The sequence below is a fragment of the Homo sapiens genome, chromosome 15 (genome assembly GCF_000001405.40).
Source record: "Homo sapiens chromosome 15, GRCh38.p14 Primary Assembly".
In the NCBI taxonomy this organism is placed as follows: Eukaryota; Metazoa; Chordata; class Mammalia; order Primates; family Hominidae; genus Homo; species Homo sapiens.
Genome location: NC_000015.10, coordinates 101,153,077 through 101,171,553, shown reverse-complemented (window position 1 = coordinate 101,171,553; position 18,477 = coordinate 101,153,077). Strand labels below are relative to the sequence as shown.

Below are 18,477 nucleotides of genomic sequence, written 5' to 3'. Positions count from 1 at the left end.
CCTCCGAAAGTGCTGGGATTACAGGCATGAGCCACTGCACCCGGCCTGCAGTTTGGATTTTTGAACGGATTCTATTTCTTCCGTGGTAAATAACAATGTAACTGCAGCAGAGGATACCCATACAGGGAAGCAGAGAAGGGAAAGGAAAGACCAGGCCCTTCCTCTGTACCACCCTGTTCCCACTCTGCCGAGTTCCCGTCAGGGGCTGTGGTAGGTACCGTTTGATGTAGGGTGCACGTACCATACAATTTGACATCTTGCTTTTTTTCCATCCATTTAAAACACATTGGTCCTGTGAGACTGCCCGGGAAGGCTGCCTTCTCTCCTACAATTGGGCGTCTCCCTCCTGCTGGCCATCTCCAGCGTCCCGTGGTTCCATCCTGAGTCACAGGATGCAGGGAGCATCTTTCCACTTCACCCTTTTCGTACTTTGGATCATCCTCTTCCAGGGCTGAGGGACTTTGGGACTTGGCCATTTCTGACATAACACTAAGTCGTCTGGCATTTTGTTTTATTTGGTCAACGTTGACATTTTGAACCTACTAGCTAGTTCCAATAAAACCTTTTTAAAAATAAGCCCGAAAAGTGAAATGACCTTTAAGAAATACTGTGAGAATATTGCACAGTGTCTTGGATCCCTCATCCTGTGAGAATATTGCACAGTGTCTTGGATCCCTCATCCTGTGAAAATGGCAACTCCGCAGACCCAACTCTATGACTGCAAAGCTTGAGTCAGGACAAAGTGAGACAGATTTATTGATGACTCAGGGAGTGAGAAGAGGCGCGTTCCAGACAGAGGGCCTGTTTGGGAAAGAGGTACACTCCACTCCCAGGAAGCTGGCGCTCATTCCAAGAGATGGGACAGGCAGGGGCGCGGAGTGGAAGTGGGTAGCCTGAGATAAGAGCAGCTCTTTCCAGACTTGGTGAGGCAGCAGAAGCGCTGGACGAGATGTGGACATGACCAGAGGCACCGGGCCTCCGTTTGGGCAGCCAGGAGTGATTTCCTAGTGGGAAAAGTATACATTTGCAAACAGATGGGAATACATTTGGATATGCATAGATGGAATTACTAACCACCTTTACCTATGTTCTAGGCAAGTTTTGAAGATTGATATTATATTTTATATAATGTCATATAGAAAATATATATTGGTTATGATTTATCATTATATGGTTTCTGTGCTACTTGGAAGGCACGGCATGTTATTAGATCTGAAGATAATGTTTGGCTGTGGGGTGGCCTGGAGTCCAGGGGCCTGGGGACGCTGTGAATGAGCACTTTTGTAGGAGCATCAGGTGATGAAGGGAAGACGCGGCACATCTCGTGGCAGAAAGGGCAGCAGCAGTGAGCTGGGGGTTTCTGAGAGAGGGTCGTGGGCTGGAGGAGAGCAGTTGTTAACAATACATGCCTTCCTGGCTTCCCCAGGGCTAGAGCAGCCCAAAGGTCTGAGGCAGCTCCCCACACAGCCCCTGGGTAATGAGCAGTTAGGATAATGATTCATGGGCCTTCTTTAAAATTAGATTTGGGGATGGGCCTTTCTACCAAGAGGATGTGCCTTCCAGCAGGAACTCAGCAGCCCGGCTTCTCGAAGGCGGGTGTCAGCGCACTCACCATCTGGGCCGCATCCTCAGGAGGAGGTGACATACGTGTTCCATCAGCTCAGCGGGAGAGGATGGCCCTGTGCAGCCCCAGCTGGTTTCCCAGGGTCCACCAGCAGCTGCTGGGCAGCCTTGACTGCTCTGCCTGCCCAGAAGTCGGGTCTCTGCTGCCAGGCCTTCCCTGAAGCATGCTTGGTTTCCACGTCACACCTGATCTGGGGCCCTGGCTTAATGCCCTGTGGTGTCATCTCACCGCCTTCCCCCTGAGCTGAGGGCTGGTGCAGTGGCCTTTCCCTCTGAGTCGCTGCTGTTGCAGCCAACCACCCTGAGTGGCTTTGGGAGGTGAGTTTGTCACAGAATGGCTCCGTTTTGCCCCGGTGCCCTGTCCCTTTTCACCCACACAAGGGCCCTGTCCGCACGCGGCTCCGCTCGCCCGCCTTTCCTGGCCTCATGGATCTGCCTTTCTTCTGCCTCCACAGCAGTCAGTTTCAAGTTAGAAGGAAAATATCCACAGGCCACAGGATTTGGGAGAAAATGGGATGCATATGGACTTTTGTAGGTTTGGGACTAAAACACTGCACATTGTCTTAAAATGAATTGTCTGAGAGGACGTCGAATTGCCAACTTTGAGGACAGCTGCTGTGCAAATTGAATCCATTTGCAGATTTTGACATCAGAAACACAATTCCTATTTGGGACAAGACCTCACTGTGTTTGGCTTCTGAATGGTGAGCAGGTAGCTGCTATGGCTAATGTCAGGGTTTCGCCAAGCTGCAGCCACCTCAGTGAGCACTAAAACCAAATCCAACCGTGCTGCAGTGATTCGTGTGAGCCCCCGGCAGAATGTCCCTCTGCAGGAGTCTTGATGCTTGAATATGGCTCCAGAAGAATTAACTGAATTGTACATCCTGAAGTGACAGGGCAGGCCTGGGCTTGGGGGCAGAGTGAGAGAGAGTGATTCTGTTATACTGTCTGATATTTTCCTGTATCCCACTGTACACACCAACCTATATGTAAAACCCATGAGAGACTAGGGTAAAGGGCAGTGAATACAAATACCAAGACCCAGATTAGTTGTGAGCTGTGTGCTTGGCACTGTGGAAGGAGAAGGGGCCTCAGAACCAGGCTGGCCTGAGTTGGAGTCAGTGGTGGTCTGAAGCCAGCTAGGGACTCATGAAAATGGATCCCCAGCCCCACATTCAGTGACATCATGCTGGCCACTGAAATTGGCTGAGGTGGGAGTATTTACACCACAAGAAATGGCACATGCTTCAAAGCAGGCTTTTTTTTCTTTTAAATTGGACTTACCAGCACAGCATTGGTTTGGATCAACTCCACAGACGGTTGGCCAGGCCCTGTGCCAGTGTGCCTGCAGCTGTGTGACCTTGGACAAGTTCCATGTGCCAGAGCTCAGCTTCCTCCTCTGCAAGATGGGCATAGTTACCAGTAACTCCCAAGACTGATGAGAGAATTGACAGAAGCTGGCCCTCCTCCTGTCACTTCATTTCAGTTTGGTGTCACCTCCCCACTATCTCCCCACCTGGTAGCATCAGCTGCTCAGAACTCCTTCCAGACCCACATCCCGTGAGTCACCAGGTCCCACAAACCCTCCTAGATAAGGTCCTAGGATGCTCCTCCCACCCCCTCATCTCTTGACAAAGCTGCATTTACAGGGCATGCCCTGCCCATTTCCTGCTCCTCCAGTCCAGCCTCTTCCTTAAATAAAAAAGAAAAACAAATCTTATCTGGGCTCTCCTGCTTAGACTGAACCGGTTCAGGCCCAGGCTTCCCGGCTTAACTGGGCTGAGGCTCTTCTTGATCGGCATCGCCTGTATTTCTGACTTCATCTGTTCTCCACAGCCCCCGCCCCATCACCACAGCCCCCCAGTCACTCCCTCCTCCTCCTGAAGAGGAAGCCAGGCAATCACTTCTTGGAAGCCACGCTTTTCCCCCGGGGCTTCCTGTGCCTGGAATGCCCGGCCCTCACTGCCCTGGGCGCACTTCCTGATTCGGGGGCAATGTGACCTTCTCTCTGGGCATGTTAGGCAGGGTTTTAGCCGTGCCTCCCCCAACCCTCAGCCCGGGCCCCTTTCCACCTGCCATGATTGGATCTCACTCCCAGCTGGGGACTGTGTCTTGATCTACTGGGTGCCTGCTGCCCCACCAGGCTGGCCAAGCCCATGCACACCCAGCTTTGTGGCCCCCCCTGGGGTCTGGTAGGTTATGGTGTGCAGCCAAGATTAGTTCCCCTTCACTTCTGTTCTAGCCTCTCAGCTGGGTTTGCCAAAGGAAAATAACAGCTAAAATTAGATATTTCTATAAAGACAGCCTGGGACATTCAGTTTTTAGGTGAAAACAATCAAATAGCTTTCAATGTAAGAACAAGAACCTGACTTCACAGACACGGAATGCTTTCACTCTTGAATCATAAAGTTAATATTTACGAACCATTACTAAGTGCCAGGGACTTCATATAAGTTACTTCATTTACTGCTCCCCCGTCTCTGTGAGATCAGAATTCTTGACCTCAGTTTACAGATGAGGACTGGAAGGTCAGGGAGCTCAGGTGACGTGCCCAAGGTCATGGAGCCAATAAATGGCAGATCCAAAATTCATACCAGATCAGCCTTATTCCAAAATCCATGTTGGCGGGAGAGGGGAAATGCAGTGCCAGAGAGATTTAAGATCCTCAATTTAGACTGCTGGTAGGGTACCAAGAAATGGCAGCTCTGTGAATAGGATGTTTTACTGTAAAGCTCGTAAATAGTTTACCTGTTTAATTTTTCTCTGCCTTTTAAAAGTTTGGCTTTTTTAAGATTCCATAAACACACTATTCAATATAGATGCAGTAAAATCGTTTTTCTTCAAAATACACAGTATTCAGAAGATTCTAGTTTCAGGAATTGTGGAGTAGCTCATATCAGACTACTCCTCCCACAGATAGCAATGATAAACTATGGACAAAGTAGCAACCACCAGGACAAAAAGAAACAACTATTTGAAGGCCCTGGAGAATAACAAAGATCAGGTAGAAACTGGAGAGAATTTCATGCTTGATAAAAAGGAACTGCATTGGGTGAGATGCATGTTACTTATACGGCCCCTTCCTGAAGGGCACTTTCTAGGCCACAGCACTTAGGAGTTAGAACTCAAAAAGTTCCATTATTATTGGCTTGAGATCTTGTAGGATGGGGTTTAGAGCTGCCAGAGTAGCTGGAAGTGGAGGAGGGAAATCCCAAAAAGAAGGGAGACTAAAGGGTGGGACTCCCAAGTCTGCATATTAACCCCCTTCTCAGTCTCAATTAACTCCTAACCATGTTTGCCTGGGGGAGACTTCAAGGAACCCAGAAGAAAGTAATTGCTGGGGGGCTGGAAAAAGCCAATCAGAGATTTCCCATAGCAAGAAAGTCAGAGTTTGGAGTTAGAGTCCCACTAAGTTATATGGGGCTTCATAAACACCTTTGGATTTCCACTGAAACCCCAAGAGGGTTATATATTAGGAACAAAGACTAGGTCTTATATTTATCTAAGACCAATGGCAAAAACAAAACAGACCTTCCCTAATAAAGTGTGAAAACCAAGCCTCCACAAAAATCAAGATGATTAGTTAGGAATTTAACAAAAATCGGTACTCTTCAGAGGAAGATAACATAATCCAGAGCTTATACAACAGATCATCTATGATGTTCAGAATTCCTTCTTAGTCAAGCCTTTCTTAGTGCCTTGGGCAGAGTTTTAGTCATAGCTTCCCGTCCTCACTCTGGACTCTGCATCAAACCCTGTAAATTCTAGCACTTCTTGCCAAGATCTGCTGGTTGTCTGGCTGCCATGCAAGACTATTAACTTTTTATCAGCAGGCATGTGAAGAAACAGGGAACTGTAACATATAGTCAAGAGAAAAATCAGGCAATAGAAGTAAACCTTGAGATGAACCAGGAGGTCAAATTAGCAGATAAGAACTTTAAAACAGCTCTGATAAAAATAGTCAAAGACAACCTCTGCTTTCCAGTTTCAAGAGATTCTCCTGCCTCAGCCTCCTGAGTAGTTGGGGTTACAGGCACCTGCCACCACGCCTGGCTAATTTTTGTATTTTTAGTAGGGACAGGGCTTCACCATGTTGGCCAGGCTGGTCTAGGACTCCTGACCTCAGGTGTTCCACCTGCCTGGCCTCCCAAAATGATGGGATTACAGGCATGAGCCACCACACCTGGCCAGACTTTAAAACTGTTTTGTAGAGATGGGGTCTCACTATGCTGCCCACGCTGGTATCAAACTCTTGGCTTCAAGCAATCCTCCTGTCTTAACCTCCCAAAATGCTGGGATTACAGGCATGAGCCACTGTTCCTGGCCTGTTCTGTTTCTTTACCTGGTGTTCATGTTATAATTATTGTTTAAACTGTACATATGTTAATGGCCTCTTTTATATTTATGAGCTACCTCACAAAAGAAATGAGTTAAAACATAAACTGAACTATAGTACAATATTCTGTATTCATTCAAACTTGTCTTCCTGAAGACAATTCTACAATATGGGAAAATGCTCACATAGTAAAAAGAATAAAAAGCAAGTTATAAAACTGTATTCACATTATGATCCCAGCTTAGAAGAGAATATATATATTTACAGAGATCCACAGAGAAAAGACTGAATGGAAAAACCTCAAAAATGCTAAGTGATTATTTTCTTTTGTATACTCTTAAGTAACTCCAAATGTTTCACAATGAATAGGTGTCAATTTTATAGTCTTAAATAGGGAACTAACAAATGGTGTTTAAGTTCTCTGCAGAAAGGTCTGAAATAAGACTTACCAAATTATTTCTATCACTCAGGATCTAGGGAGGGAAATGAAAACCACTTCATGGCCGGGCACGGTGGCTCACGCCTATAATCCCAGCACTTTGGGAGGCCGAGGCAGGTGGATCACGAGGTCAGGAGATCGAGACCATCCTAACATAGTGAAACCCTGTCTCCACTAAAAAAATTAGCTGGGCTTGGTGGTGGGTGCCTGTAGTCCCAGCTACTCTGGAGGCTGAGGCAGGAGAATGGCGTGAACCTGGGAGGTGGAGCTTGCAGTGAGCCGAGATCCTGCCACTGCACTCCAGCCTGGGTGACAGAGTGAGACTCCGTCTCAAAAAAAAAAAAAAAAAAAGACCACTTCAGGCATTTTCAGCACTAAGGCATTTAATAGAGGGGATTTAGAGCTGCTGAAAACAGTACAAAGGCTGGGTACCTATGGCTTAAACAACAGAAATACACTGTCTCATAGTTCTGGGGCTGGAAGTCCAAAATCAAGGTGTCAGCAGGGTGGGCTCCTTCTGAGGCTGTGAGGGAAGGTCTGCAAGCCAGGGTCTTCAAGGTCTGTTCCAGGCCTTTCTCCTTGGCTTGCAAAGGGCCATCTTCTGTGTCTTCACATTGTCTTCCTTTGACTCATGTCTCTGTGTCCAAATTTCCGCTTTGTGTAAGTGTAATCTCCCAGTGGGTTCACCTTGTCCACTGCCTAGATGGAGCCAATTCATCAAGACAGGGGAATTGCAATAGAGAAAGAGTAATTCATGCAGAGCCAGCTGTGCAAGAGCCTGGAGTTTTATTATTAAATCGGTCTCCCCGAGCATTCAGGGAGCAGAGGTTTTAAGAATAACTTGGTGGGTGGAGGGAAGCCAGTGAGCCGGGAGTGCCGACTGATCAGGGATGAAATCAAATGGAGTCCGAGCTGTCTTCTTGCGCTGAGTCAGTTCCTGGGTGGGAGCCACAAGATCCGATGAGCCAGTTTATCGATCTGGGTGGTGCCAGCTGATCCATCCAGTGCAGGGTCAGCAAAATATCTCAAGCACTGATCTTAGGGGCAGTTTAGGGAGGATGGGAATCTTGTAGCCTCCAGCTGCATGACTCCTAAACCATAATTTCTAATCTTTTGACTAATGTTAGTCCTACAAAGGCAATCTAGTCCCCAGGCAAGAAGGAGGTCTGCTTTGGGGAAAGGCTACCATCATCTTTGTTTCAAACTATAAACTATAAACTAAGTTTCTCCCAAAGTTAGCTCAGCCTATGCCCAAGAATGAACAAGGACAGCTTGGAGGTTAGAAGCAAGTGGAGTTGATTGAGTTAGATCTTTCACTGTCTCGGTCATAATTTTGCAAAGGTGGTTTCATAAGGACAATTGTCATGTTGTATTAGGGCCCACTCTATTCCAGCATGACCTCATCTTAGCCTAACTAACTACATCTGCAATGACTGTATTTCTAAATAAGGTCACATTCTGAGGTACTGGGGGTTAGGACTCCAACTTATGAATTGGGGAGGGGATTGGACACAATTTAATCCATAACAGTACTGTTTAAGGTTTTTACAAACAGCACGATAATGGGGACAGAAAAGGAAACCTAAGATTATCTGGAGATAAACAGTGGAGGCCTGGACAGGTGCCATTCTGGGAGTGGCCTTCTGGAGGCAGGGACCCTCAGGGGCACCTCTGAGGCTGAAGACTGCCACTAAGTGCACAGACATCGGCCTTCTGAAATCATTCTTCCAAGTGATCACTTTGTTGGCAGTGGGACCCAAGAGCCAACATAAACTCCCATCTGCCCCTGCCACCATCTGATGTTCTCTATGTGGCAGAGAAGATGCCCTGCCCTGCCCCCTGCCTCTGCTACCATTCTCTGGTTGCATCCAACTGCCACCTGGCTGGACTCACCTTGGAGGGGAAGAGGGTGCCTGTCCTTGGGGCTTGGAGTTCACACACTTCCTTATCATTCTAGATAGAGCCGGTTTGGTGCCTTGGCAAGTGTTTAGACAGCAGAGAGAGGCCCCAGGAGAAACTGACCTCTTTATCTCACCTGGCAAAGGCCTCTTCCTTCTATAGACGCTGCAGTGTCTCCGGATCAGAACAGGGCCTCGCTCCTCCGGTAGCACCAGAAATGGCTCTTGAGAGGCTGGCCTCCGGAGGGCCCCAGCTCTGCTCCTCCCCGTAGGGTCTGTCCCCTTGAATGATAAGTGGTCCTCAGTGGCCAGAGGGCTGGGAGCAGAGCCGTGCAGTTCCCAGTGAGGGTTTCTTGTTTCCCTCCTGGCAGGTGTTGGCTGAGACACTGCAGATGGCTTTGTCCCTGCTGGTTGCTCCGAAACTTGGATTCTGTCCCTGGCCGGGCCCCAGTGATGCCTGCTGGTTTCCTCCAGCGGAAGAAGCTGCTCTTTTTGTGTCTGCAGATGGTCCTGCTGCAAGACACCTCTGTCAGGGTGGCTCTGGGAGAGCCAGCTGGAAGGTGCTCGCTCCCCTTTCATTAAGAGGGGGCTGCTGGCCTGGCTGGCCATGACCTTGAGGTCAGCGGGTTTCTGTTCAGTGCTGCTCTGGGGATTGTTCACCCCAGCCCCGCCATAACTTGCTCCCTTCTTTTCCCCACCTTTCCTCTCTTATCCGTGTGGACAGGACAGTTTTAGAACCTCTTCTGCACACCATCGTATCACCCTCAACTTGCATCCAGCCACCGCCCTGCTGAAAACCTTCCATGGCTCCCTGGTGCCTAAAGTGTACTTCTCAAGCTGTATTGTGTCTTGGATTTGCCTGTAGCTCTAAAAGATCAGCCCCTCCCAAGTTGCAGCTCAGAGCCAGTCATCAGATCCCTATGACGGAACCCAAGGACCTGAATCTTTAACTCACTCCGCAGGTGATTGTTTTTTTTTTTACCTGTATAGTTTTTCTTTAAATTGTGGTAAAATATACATAACATGAAATGTACCATCATAACCATTTTTAAGTGTGTACTTCAGTGACATTAAGTTCTGTTACAGACGGTCTCGCCGCCAAATTCGTGTTCAAGCCCTGACTCTGAATATGATGGGTTTTGGAGGTGGGATCTTTGGGAGGTGATTAGGTTTGGTTGACGTCTTGGGAGTGGAGCCCTCATGATGGGATTAGATCCTTATAGGAAGAGGAAATCAGATTTCTCCACGTGCTTGCACTGAGGGAAGTCCACATGAGCACAAGGCAGGAAGGCTGCTGTCTGCAAGTCAGGAAGAGAACCGCCATCAGCCCCTAGCCATGCTGGTACTGTGATCTCGGACTTCCAGGCTCCAGAACTGTGAGAAGATAAGTGTCTTTTGTTTAAGCCATTGGGTCTATGTTATTTGTCACAGCAGCCCAAGCTGACTCAGACAACTGCGTTCACGTTGTTGTGCCACCATCACCACCGAGAACTGTTTCATTTAGCAAAATTGAAACTCCACACCCACTAAATAATAACTCCCCGTTCTCCCTGCTCCCAGCTCCTGACAACGCCATTCTACTTTGTCCCTACAAATTTGACTATTCCAGGTACCTCACACAAGTGGAATCATATAGGATTTGTCCTTTTGTGCCTGGCTTATTTTGCTTAGCGTAATGTCCTCAAGGTTCATCCATGTGATAGCTTATGTCAGAATCTTTTTCTTCTTAAGGCTGAATAATATTATATTATATGCATATTGCTTCCACCTTTTGCCTATTGTGAGATCCTGCTTTCATTTCTTTTGGGCATATATCCAGAAGGAAAATTGCTTGATCACATGGTAATTTTTCCTTTTTTCTTTTTTTTTTTTTTTAGAAAAGGTCTTACTTCGTTACCCAGGCTGGAGTGCAGTGGTGAGATCTCATCTCACTGCGACCTCCGCCTTCTGGGTTCAAGCAATTCTCCCACCTCAGCCTCCCGAGTAGCTGGGACTACAGGGGCGCACATGCCCAGCTAATTTTTGTATATTTTGGTAGAGACAAGGTTTCACCATGTTGGCCAGGCTGGTCTCGAACTCCTGACCTCAAGTGATCCACCCGCCTCGGCCTCCCAAAGTCCTGGGATTACAGACATAAGCCACGCCTGACCAGGATCACATAGTAATTTTATTTTGATTTTATTGAGGAAATGCCGTACTGTTTTCCACAGTGGCTACACCGTTTCACATTTCCACCAGCAGTGCACAGGCGTTCTAATTTCTCTACATCCTCACCAGCACTGGTTATTTCCTTTTTTGTTCTCGTAATAGCCATCCTACTGAGTGAAAAGTGGTATCTCAGATGGTTTTAATTTGCATTTCCCTAATGATTAGTGATTTAAGCATCTTTTCATGTGCTTATTGGCCATTTGTATATCTTCTTTGGAGAAATGTCTATTCAAGTCCTTTGCTCACTTTTGAGTTGGGATGTTTATTTTGTTGTTGTTGTTGAGTTGTATCCAGAGGTGATTTTGACAGAAAGTGAGAGAGTGGTGGATGGAGAGGATGAGCTGTCTGTGGGGTGTCCGGGACCCTCTGTGGGTGGCCTGACCCACCTTCCCTCTCATTTCCTGCTTCTCCCAGCAAGAATGCTTTGCCCTGGCTGGCTGTTCCCATCTCTGGGCTTTTGTTTACTCCATACCATCAGCTTGGATTGCTGTAGCAGACTGACTTTTTCTCGTCTGCACAAAACCACCCTCCTCCATCTCCAGCAATAGTTCTGGTGGGACTGTGGGTCATGGTCCCATTCTCTCCTGGCCACGTCACTGGCACATGAGCCTGGCTTGCCCGGAGCTAGTGCTCTCGTCACCCTAGTGTCAGGGGTTGCCTCAAGGGGTAGGCCTGTGATCCAAGCCAATCAGGTCTTTATGTGGCTATTAGAAAAATGTCTCTTTCTGCTTGGATTACCGAGCTGGGATGATGTAAGCCTGGGCTACTGGTGGTCTCTTCCTTGATAGCATGACCCATCTGCAGGAAGACATGAAAGGTCAACGCACAAATGAGAGCTAAGTCAAGATAAGGAAAGTGAAGAGAGAATGTGAGTGAGAGAGAGAGAGAGAGAGAGAGAGAGAGACTGAGATCATTGCTTGAGTCCTGGATCCAGCCATACCTGAAACCAGCCGACCCCGGGATATTTCAGGTGCACACGCCGAGAGATTCCACAACATACCCCAACCCTCTTTTTTTCCACCTAAGCTGGTCTGAATTGGGTTTCTGTCACTGGTAACAGAAAACATTCTGACTAATGCAAATCCCTCTTCCCAGTTCCAACTCTCCATGCATCCAACTGTCTGTCCTTCCAATTTTCGTCCTGTCAAGCTCAGATCTGCGCTTTTCTGTTTTATATCTGGCCTGAAGAGCTGCTCCCTCTAGGGAGCCCCAGTAGTCAGGGGGTGAGAAGGGGGCTTTCCAGGTGCTCTGATCTCCAACGTCCTGCCCGCTGTGCCCTTTGGGAACCTCTGTACTATACACTTCTGTGTGTAGCTTGTGTGTTAGAGTGTTCTTTTAACACTCTGAGAAAGCTTATCCTGTGGCAGCTGATATGAACTGCCCAGGAAGACATCCAGCATCCCCTTCCCTGCCCAGCCCCTGACCGAGGTCCCTGGGGCAGCCCAAGACAACACCCTCCACCCACACCTCCGGGGCAGCCTTGGGCACAGGCCCAGCCCCGGCTAAGGAGCACAGGGATCCACAGGGGCTTCCAGAGACAGAGTGTGAAAAGGTGAGTGGCGATGGAAAAAATGACTTGGTGTTTCCTTGTTGTTGGTTTTGAGTGTGTGGCTTTATTCTTTTGCAGCTGTGATCTCTCTAGAGGGTTTTCCACCCCCAGCCCAGGAAGGGGAAGCCGCCTCCGGGTGTCCATGGGGAGCCACTGGCCCTGGTGGTTCAGTCTCTTGGTGGGGTGGTGAGTGGGGGGTTGGATCACTGGAACAGAGAACAGGATGCATGCTTTGTGGGGGGTGTAGGGGAATGGCTGGCCCTGGAATTGAGACACTTGAGACAGGGGAAGGGGCTGGGCATTGCTCAGGGGTGTTGTTCAGTGTGCAAGCGTGGTGCCTCAGTTTGCGGGCCAAGAGGGGGCGTGCACGATGTACCCAAATGCTGGATCCCTTCGCCTGTGGCACAGCCCTGGAGTGGCAGCTGCAGTGGACAAAGACGCAGACCCTTCCCAAACTGCACAGAAAAAATCAGCCCCCAGTTCCCGTGTGACCATGGACATGACTGAGGCTGAACTGGCTCACAGCTGGGGAGGGGTGTGTGGATGGAAAAGCAGACAGCTGTGAACAGCACCGCTTCTAGGAGGGCGGAGAAGGGGCAGTGCGGGGAGACCCACTCCCTATACTTGTGTGGCGCTGGGCTTACACTGAGGAAATGCGTTCTGGTACTATTTGCTCAGTCCAAGACAGATTTTTTAAAGTTTAGAAATGTTTATTTGAAAAACAAGTGTTTCGCACACCCAGGTATCACACAGGAAGTTGCGTGCCCCGCGTTACTCAGTCGTTGCCATGTTAGTTTTGGGTACATGCATGTCCCGGTTCCCCAGCTGTGCTCTCAGGGCCACTTCCGCAGCTTCGAACTGCCACAGACTCTGGAGCTCAGCCTGGGAGAGATGCTCAGAAGGTGTGAAGCTGATGCCGAATCAACAGCTCACCTTAGAGAGGGCTTGGTCGGAATCAGGCACTACTCTAAGCGCTTTCACAGTATTGCTTCATCTCATCTCAACAACTGCGTCCCCATTTTCTGGGTGAGGGTCAGAGGACTGAGTGAGGCTCAGTGGGTTCCAGCAGTGGGGACGAGGCTGAACAATGGGAGGAATAGTTCCAAGCAGCAGAACGGCCCGGTCCCAGAGGCCTGGTCCCAGGCGGGTGCGGATGCCTGCCAACTGTGAACTTGACTTTGTTCATTTCACGTCCAGTGGCATTTTGCGGGGTGGGGAGGAGCGTGCACTCTCGGCAGACCTGGTCGTATGTGGGGAGTCTTGAACAAGCGCTTTTCTCTGAGCCTCAGTTTCCCCAGCTGTGAAATGGAAAGAGCTATGCTTTATAGTTGGGAAAAATGAATGGGATCGTTGGGGAGAGAGCCTCGCACTCGGGGCTGGATCAATGCTGCATTTTCCAGTCTGGGTCACCTCAGGGCCTTCCTCTCTCCCTGGCTGGTGGAGAGCAGGGTCATAAGGCCTGGGGGCCTCAGCCTGAGCCCTCGCAGCGCCAGGCACTGGGCCACACTTGGCGCTGGGGAGTCCCCGTGCCTGAGCCCTTGCTGCACCAGGCTCTGGGCCATACTTGGTGCTGATGCTAAGGAGTCCCCACGCCTCTGGGGACCTGGGGGGCTAGCACCCCTCATTTCACCCCGGTTACCCACATGCCTGGCTCCCTCCAGTGCTGCCCCCTCCTGAGCACCTTCCTTGTGCTTGGAGCTGGGGAACAAAGATGGATAAGACCAAGCTGCTGCCCCCAGGACTCCTGGTCTCATGGGAAACCCAGAACTGTATCAGATGCCAGCACAGCATTGGAGGTGATCTCAGGATGCTGGGGGAACCCCGTGGAGAAGCAGAAAATAAAATGCTCCCTTCTCCTCCAAGCAAGGAATGGCTTCAGAAAAAATACTTACGACACCATGCTAAGGTGGTGTTGACATCTATGATTCTCTACACGGTCTGCATGGAACCCGTGGCTGCGGTTGAGTGCCTTTGGGAAAGGAACTGGGCCATGGATGGGAGAGACTGACTTTTTGGTGTAAATCCTTTTATGTGGTTTGCTTTAAAAGACAAACAAACAAACAAAAACAAAACAAAAACCAGGCTGGGCGCGGTGGCTCACGCCTGTAATCCCAGCACTTTGGGAAGCTGAGGCGGATGGATCACGAGGTCAGGAGATCGAGACTATCCTGGCTAACATGGTGAAACCCTGTATCTATTAAAAATACAAAAACTTAGCCGGGCGTGGTGGCGGGCACCTGTAGTCCCAGCTACTCGGGAGGCTGAGGCAGGAGAATCGTTTGAACCCAAGAGGCGGAGGTTGCAGTGAGCTGAGATCACGCCACTGCACTCCAGCCTGGGAGACAGAGTGAGACTCCGTCTCAAAAAAGAAAAACAAACAAACAAAGAACAATGGTAAGATTTAAATTTATCGAAAGTTGTTATTGAGAGCAATCCTCGTTTGGTAACCTGTACAGCTGTGCACAGGCCGTGACAAACACTTCTTCACCAGCTCACCTGCAGAGCACGCCGAGCCACCCCCGACGGTCCGTGGGTTTACTCCTAAGCTTGCTCTTGCCCGTTGCACTTGCTATAATAGTGATGTCATCTAATTAAATTTAGTGTAAACCAATGAGATATGAGGGTAATAAGAATGAATTGGTGTTTCTAAGACATATAAGTGAATGCCTTGGAAACCTTTCTCAAGCTGAGTCATTTTACAAAAATCATTGTCAGATCAGATGGCGGCAAGACAGCTGTGCAAGTCCGGGGAAGCCCAGTCCCAGGGGAGCCTCAGGTTGCTCGCGTCACACGAGTCTTTAAATTCTGGTTCCGCCTTAAAGAGAAGCAAGCTGGAAGTCGTGAATAGACATTACGGAAATGATTTATGCAAAAATGCTGATGTGGAGTCCCGCGGAGTGGCTCCTTCCCAGCATTCCTGGGCCTCAAACCTACCTCCACGTGTAGGCACTAAGTGTGTTTCCAGTTAAAAGCTTTACACTATCAGAGGTTTTATTTTACGATGCCCACTTTAACTGTCTTTTCCAGTGAACCCACCTGCTGTTGGCCAGAGGTTTTGACCACAGATATGTGAGCGTCTAATAGTGGCCACATGTCCTTTCTTCTTAGGGAGACTCCCAAGAAATTCCCCGGTTTGTTGGTTCTGGTACCCTCAATTAGGGGCAAGGTCTTGCCTTTACCCCAGCCCCCTCCAGGTGTCCAAGACTGTCGGGCAGTGGGTAGTCTGCAGGCCCAGGTCACTGGAGAATCCACCCGTGGCCCTGCCAGGTCCCCCACCCACCTCCATGCTGCTCACCTGATGACTGACTCCGGCTCCCACCTCCTCCCCCCTGCTGATTTCCACCCTCCCTTCTCCCCTTTGTCTCACCTGGCCCCGCAAACACATATTCACATTATTCTATTTCTTGGTCTTGCACCTTCTTCAAGACTTTATTGTGAGGTAAGAGGAAAACAGTGGTCAGGCACTGGGACGTGTCAGAGGGGAGGAAAGTCCACAGAAACACATTTAAAAAGCCCAGCTTTGTTGTTGTTGTTGTTGGTTTTAGACAAGGTCTCGCTCTGTCGCCCAGGCTGGAGTGCAGTGGCGTGATCTGTGTTCACTGCAACCTCCGCCTCCCGGGTTCAAAAGATTCTCCTGCCTCAGCTTCCCAAGTAGCTGGGATTACGGGCATGTGCCACCATGCCAGACTAATTTTTGTATTTTTAGTCGAGACAGGGTTTCGCCATGTTGGCCAGGCCTGGTCTTGAACTCCTGACCTCATGATCCACCCACCTTGGCCTCCCAAAGTGCTGGGATTGCAGGCGTGAGCCACCGCGCCCAGCCAAAAAACCCAGCTTTGATGGAAGAACAAGCAAAATGCAGTGATACATATAACGCAATAGTATTCAGCCTTACACGGGAAGGAGATTCTGACGCGCGCTACCACGTGAACGGACCTGGAGGACGTTGTGCTGAGGGAGAAAAGCCAGGCGTGAAGGACAAATAGTGTGTGACTCCACTGGAGTAGTCGGAGTCCCAGAGACAGATGTAGAGTGGAGGCTGCCCGGGGCTGGGGGAGGCGTGGGGCTTTGGTGTTTGACGGGCCCGGGGTTTCAGCTGGGTGAGATGAAAGGGCTCTGTCCGGAATGCTGCTGGTGACGGTAGCACAACAGCCTGCGTGGACTTCAAGGCCACGGCTCCGCACAGCTGAAGAAGTAGTTACGGTGATACATTCTGTGCTCTGTATCTCTCATCACAGAAACAAAAACAAAACACAAACCCCCATAAAGAACCTCAGCAACAGGCCGGGCGCAATGGCTCACACCTGTAATCCGAGCACTTCGGCAGGCCGAGGCCCGAGGATCACTTGAGGTCAGGAGTTTGAGACCAGACTGGCCAACACGGTGAAACCCCCTTTCTACTAAAAATACAAAAATTAGCCAGGCGTGGTGGTGCGAGCCTGTAATCCCAGCTACTCAGGAGGCTGAGGCAAGAGAATCCTTTGAGCCCAGGAGGCAGAGGCTGCAGTGAGACGAGATCACACCACTGCACTCCAGCCTGGGCGACAAAGCGAGACTCTTTCAAAAAAAAAAAAGAACTCTGGCATTGCGATGGCCTGCCCCTCAGTGCTTGGCCTCCCTGGGAAGTGCCCTGGTTGCTTCTGGGGATGGGATGTGGATATCTTCATGCTCTTCCTCGAACCTTAATGTTTCCCAATTCCCTTCAAAAAACATCTATTACTTTCCTAGTGGGGGAGTGGGGGAGTGGGGCCTGTTGAGAGTTTTAAAGAAAATGAGAAGGGCGGGAGTGGGGCAGTTAGTTGTCAGAGTTCATCCTTCTTCCTCCCAAGGCCCAGGTCTCCTCTAGGTGGGCGGAGATGCTGGGGGGCGAAGGGGAAGGGCACTTCCTGCCGGAGGAAGACCTGGCAGGTTCTCTCCCACCCAGCCCAACCCTGATGGGTCTGTGCCAAGGAAACCCGGCACCTGGGTCCTTGCAGCTCCCAGAAGGGCCTGTGAAGATGGGCTGGGCTCCTTCTGCACACCCCCCATCTGCACTCCTCACCAACCCCAGAAGAGATAACTAGCTCCTGTTTGCAAGCAGCTCAAATTAGCGGGGAAACAACTGCTAAACCCGGACTCGTCAGGCTGATCCAATCGGCGCTTCCCACCTGGGGCTCTAGGGATGGCCCAAGTCACCTCCGTAGTCACGGGGCAGGGGGACGTGTGGGTGCGCGTGTGGGTGCAAGTGTGTGTGCAGGTGCACAGGTATGTGTGAGTGCACAGCTGTGTGTGTGTGAGTTCCTGGGAATGTGTGCGTGCAGGGGTGTGTGTGTGCATGGTTGTGTTTGGGTGCACAGGTGTGTGTGTGTGGGTGCATGGACACATGTGTGGTAGCACAGGTATGTGTGTGTAGAGGAGTGTGTGTAGGTGCACAGGGTGTGTGTGTGTGGGTGCACAGGTGTGCATGTGGGAACAGGAGTGCATGTGGGTGCAGGGGTGTGTGGGGGTGCACAAATGTGTGTGTGCAGAGGCATGTGTGGGTGCAAAAGAGTGTGTGACTTCAAGGGTGTGTGTGGGTGCGCAGGAGTATGTGTGCACGGTGTGTGGGGGTGTATAGGTGTGTGTGTGGGTATATAGGTGCCTGTGGGGGTATACAGGTGTGTGTGGGTGCAGGGGTTTGTGTATGAGCGCACAGGTGCGTGTGTAGGTGAAAGCTCACATGCAGATGCATCAGGTCCACATGTGCACCAGGGGCATGTGTGTGTATGTGCACATACGTGTATATATGAGACCACAGCTCCCTGCAGCTTTTCTGTCCGTTGGCTAGCAAAACTCAGTTTCTTCTTGTGAGACGTGGGCATCTCCCTCTTAGTCTCCCAATCCCCCTCTGCAGAGCGTTCCAGCCCCATGGTCTCCTGGGTGAAGAGGGAAAACCCAGGGACCCTAAGCCTGATGAAAGGCAGCTATCCTGGTCCCTGAGGAGCCTGGACGGTGCTCCCACTGTGGCCTTGAGCCTGGTCCTGGCCAGCTCCTGTAAAATATACCCTACAAATTAATACATAAATCCTACAAATTAGTATATTGAAAAGTTTGTACCTTTATTTTGTGTTTTAGTAAGAATATAAAATAAATAAATAAAATAAATATAAAATAAAATAAAATTAGTTGTATTAGTTAGGGTGACTGCTGTAACAAATAGACCCCCCAATGCCTGATGGCTCAAAAACAATTGAAGTTGATTTCTACCCACCCCAAAAATCCTAGCCAGTGCAGGTCAGCAGAGGCAGGCAGGGAGGACGGGAGGCCGGGCTCCCACAGTCATTCCGGGACCCGGCTGCCAGGGGCTCTGCCAGCTTCAGCTCAGGGCTTCCGAGGCTGCCCTGGGCCTTGGCGCCCAGACAGCTGGAGGAGGAAGGATCTCACAGGGCAGAGCTCTCCGGTCCAG

General features: G+C 49.9%; 2 long non-coding RNA genes across 3 annotated transcripts, besides 4 other annotated features; both read right to left on the bottom strand.

The window, feature by feature from the left end:
- Positions 1 to 732: 732 nt before the first annotated feature.
- Positions 733 to 3,190, bottom strand: LOC124903564 (uncharacterized). Its single transcript, XR_007064780.1, has 2 exons — positions 2,908 to 3,190; positions 733 to 2,531 (listed from the first exon to the last, which is right to left on the bottom strand). It is a non-coding gene; the product is annotated as an uncharacterized LOC124903564 (long non-coding RNA).
- Positions 1,756 to 2,260: an enhancer, noted in NCBI's record as "H3K4me1 hESC enhancer chr15:101709499-101710003 (GRCh37/hg19 assembly coordinates)". NCBI's record gives its function as "activates a minimal SCP1, AML or CMV promoter by ChIP-STARR-seq in primed H9 embryonic stem cells {active_cell/tissue: H9 hESC(primed)}" and the evidence as "EXISTENCE:reporter gene assay evidence [ECO:0000049][PMID:30033119]".
- Positions 2,883 to 2,952: an enhancer, noted in NCBI's record as "active region_10189". NCBI's record gives its function as "activates an Ori minimal core promoter by ATAC-STARR-seq in GM12878 lymphoblastoid cells {active_cell/tissue: GM12878}" and the evidence as "EXISTENCE:reporter gene assay evidence [ECO:0000049][PMID:35858748]".
- Positions 3,648 to 4,173: an enhancer, noted in NCBI's record as "H3K4me1 hESC enhancer chr15:101707586-101708111 (GRCh37/hg19 assembly coordinates)". NCBI's record gives its function as "activates a minimal SCP1, AML or CMV promoter by ChIP-STARR-seq in naive H9 embryonic stem cells {active_cell/tissue: H9 hESC(naive)}" and the evidence as "EXISTENCE:reporter gene assay evidence [ECO:0000049][PMID:30033119]".
- On the bottom strand, positions 6,764 to 8,601 carry LOC124903565 (uncharacterized). Of its 2 annotated transcripts, none has more exons than XR_007064782.1 (2): positions 8,292 to 8,601; positions 6,764 to 7,335 (listed from the first exon to the last, which is right to left on the bottom strand). It is a non-coding gene; the product is annotated as an uncharacterized LOC124903565 (long non-coding RNA). The 2 variants fall into 2 exon arrangements; XR_007064781.1 differs by having other exon boundaries at positions 8,434 to 8,601.
- Positions 14,328 to 14,427: an enhancer, noted in NCBI's record as "active region_10188". NCBI's record gives its function as "activates an Ori minimal core promoter by ATAC-STARR-seq in GM12878 lymphoblastoid cells {active_cell/tissue: GM12878}" and the evidence as "EXISTENCE:reporter gene assay evidence [ECO:0000049][PMID:35858748]".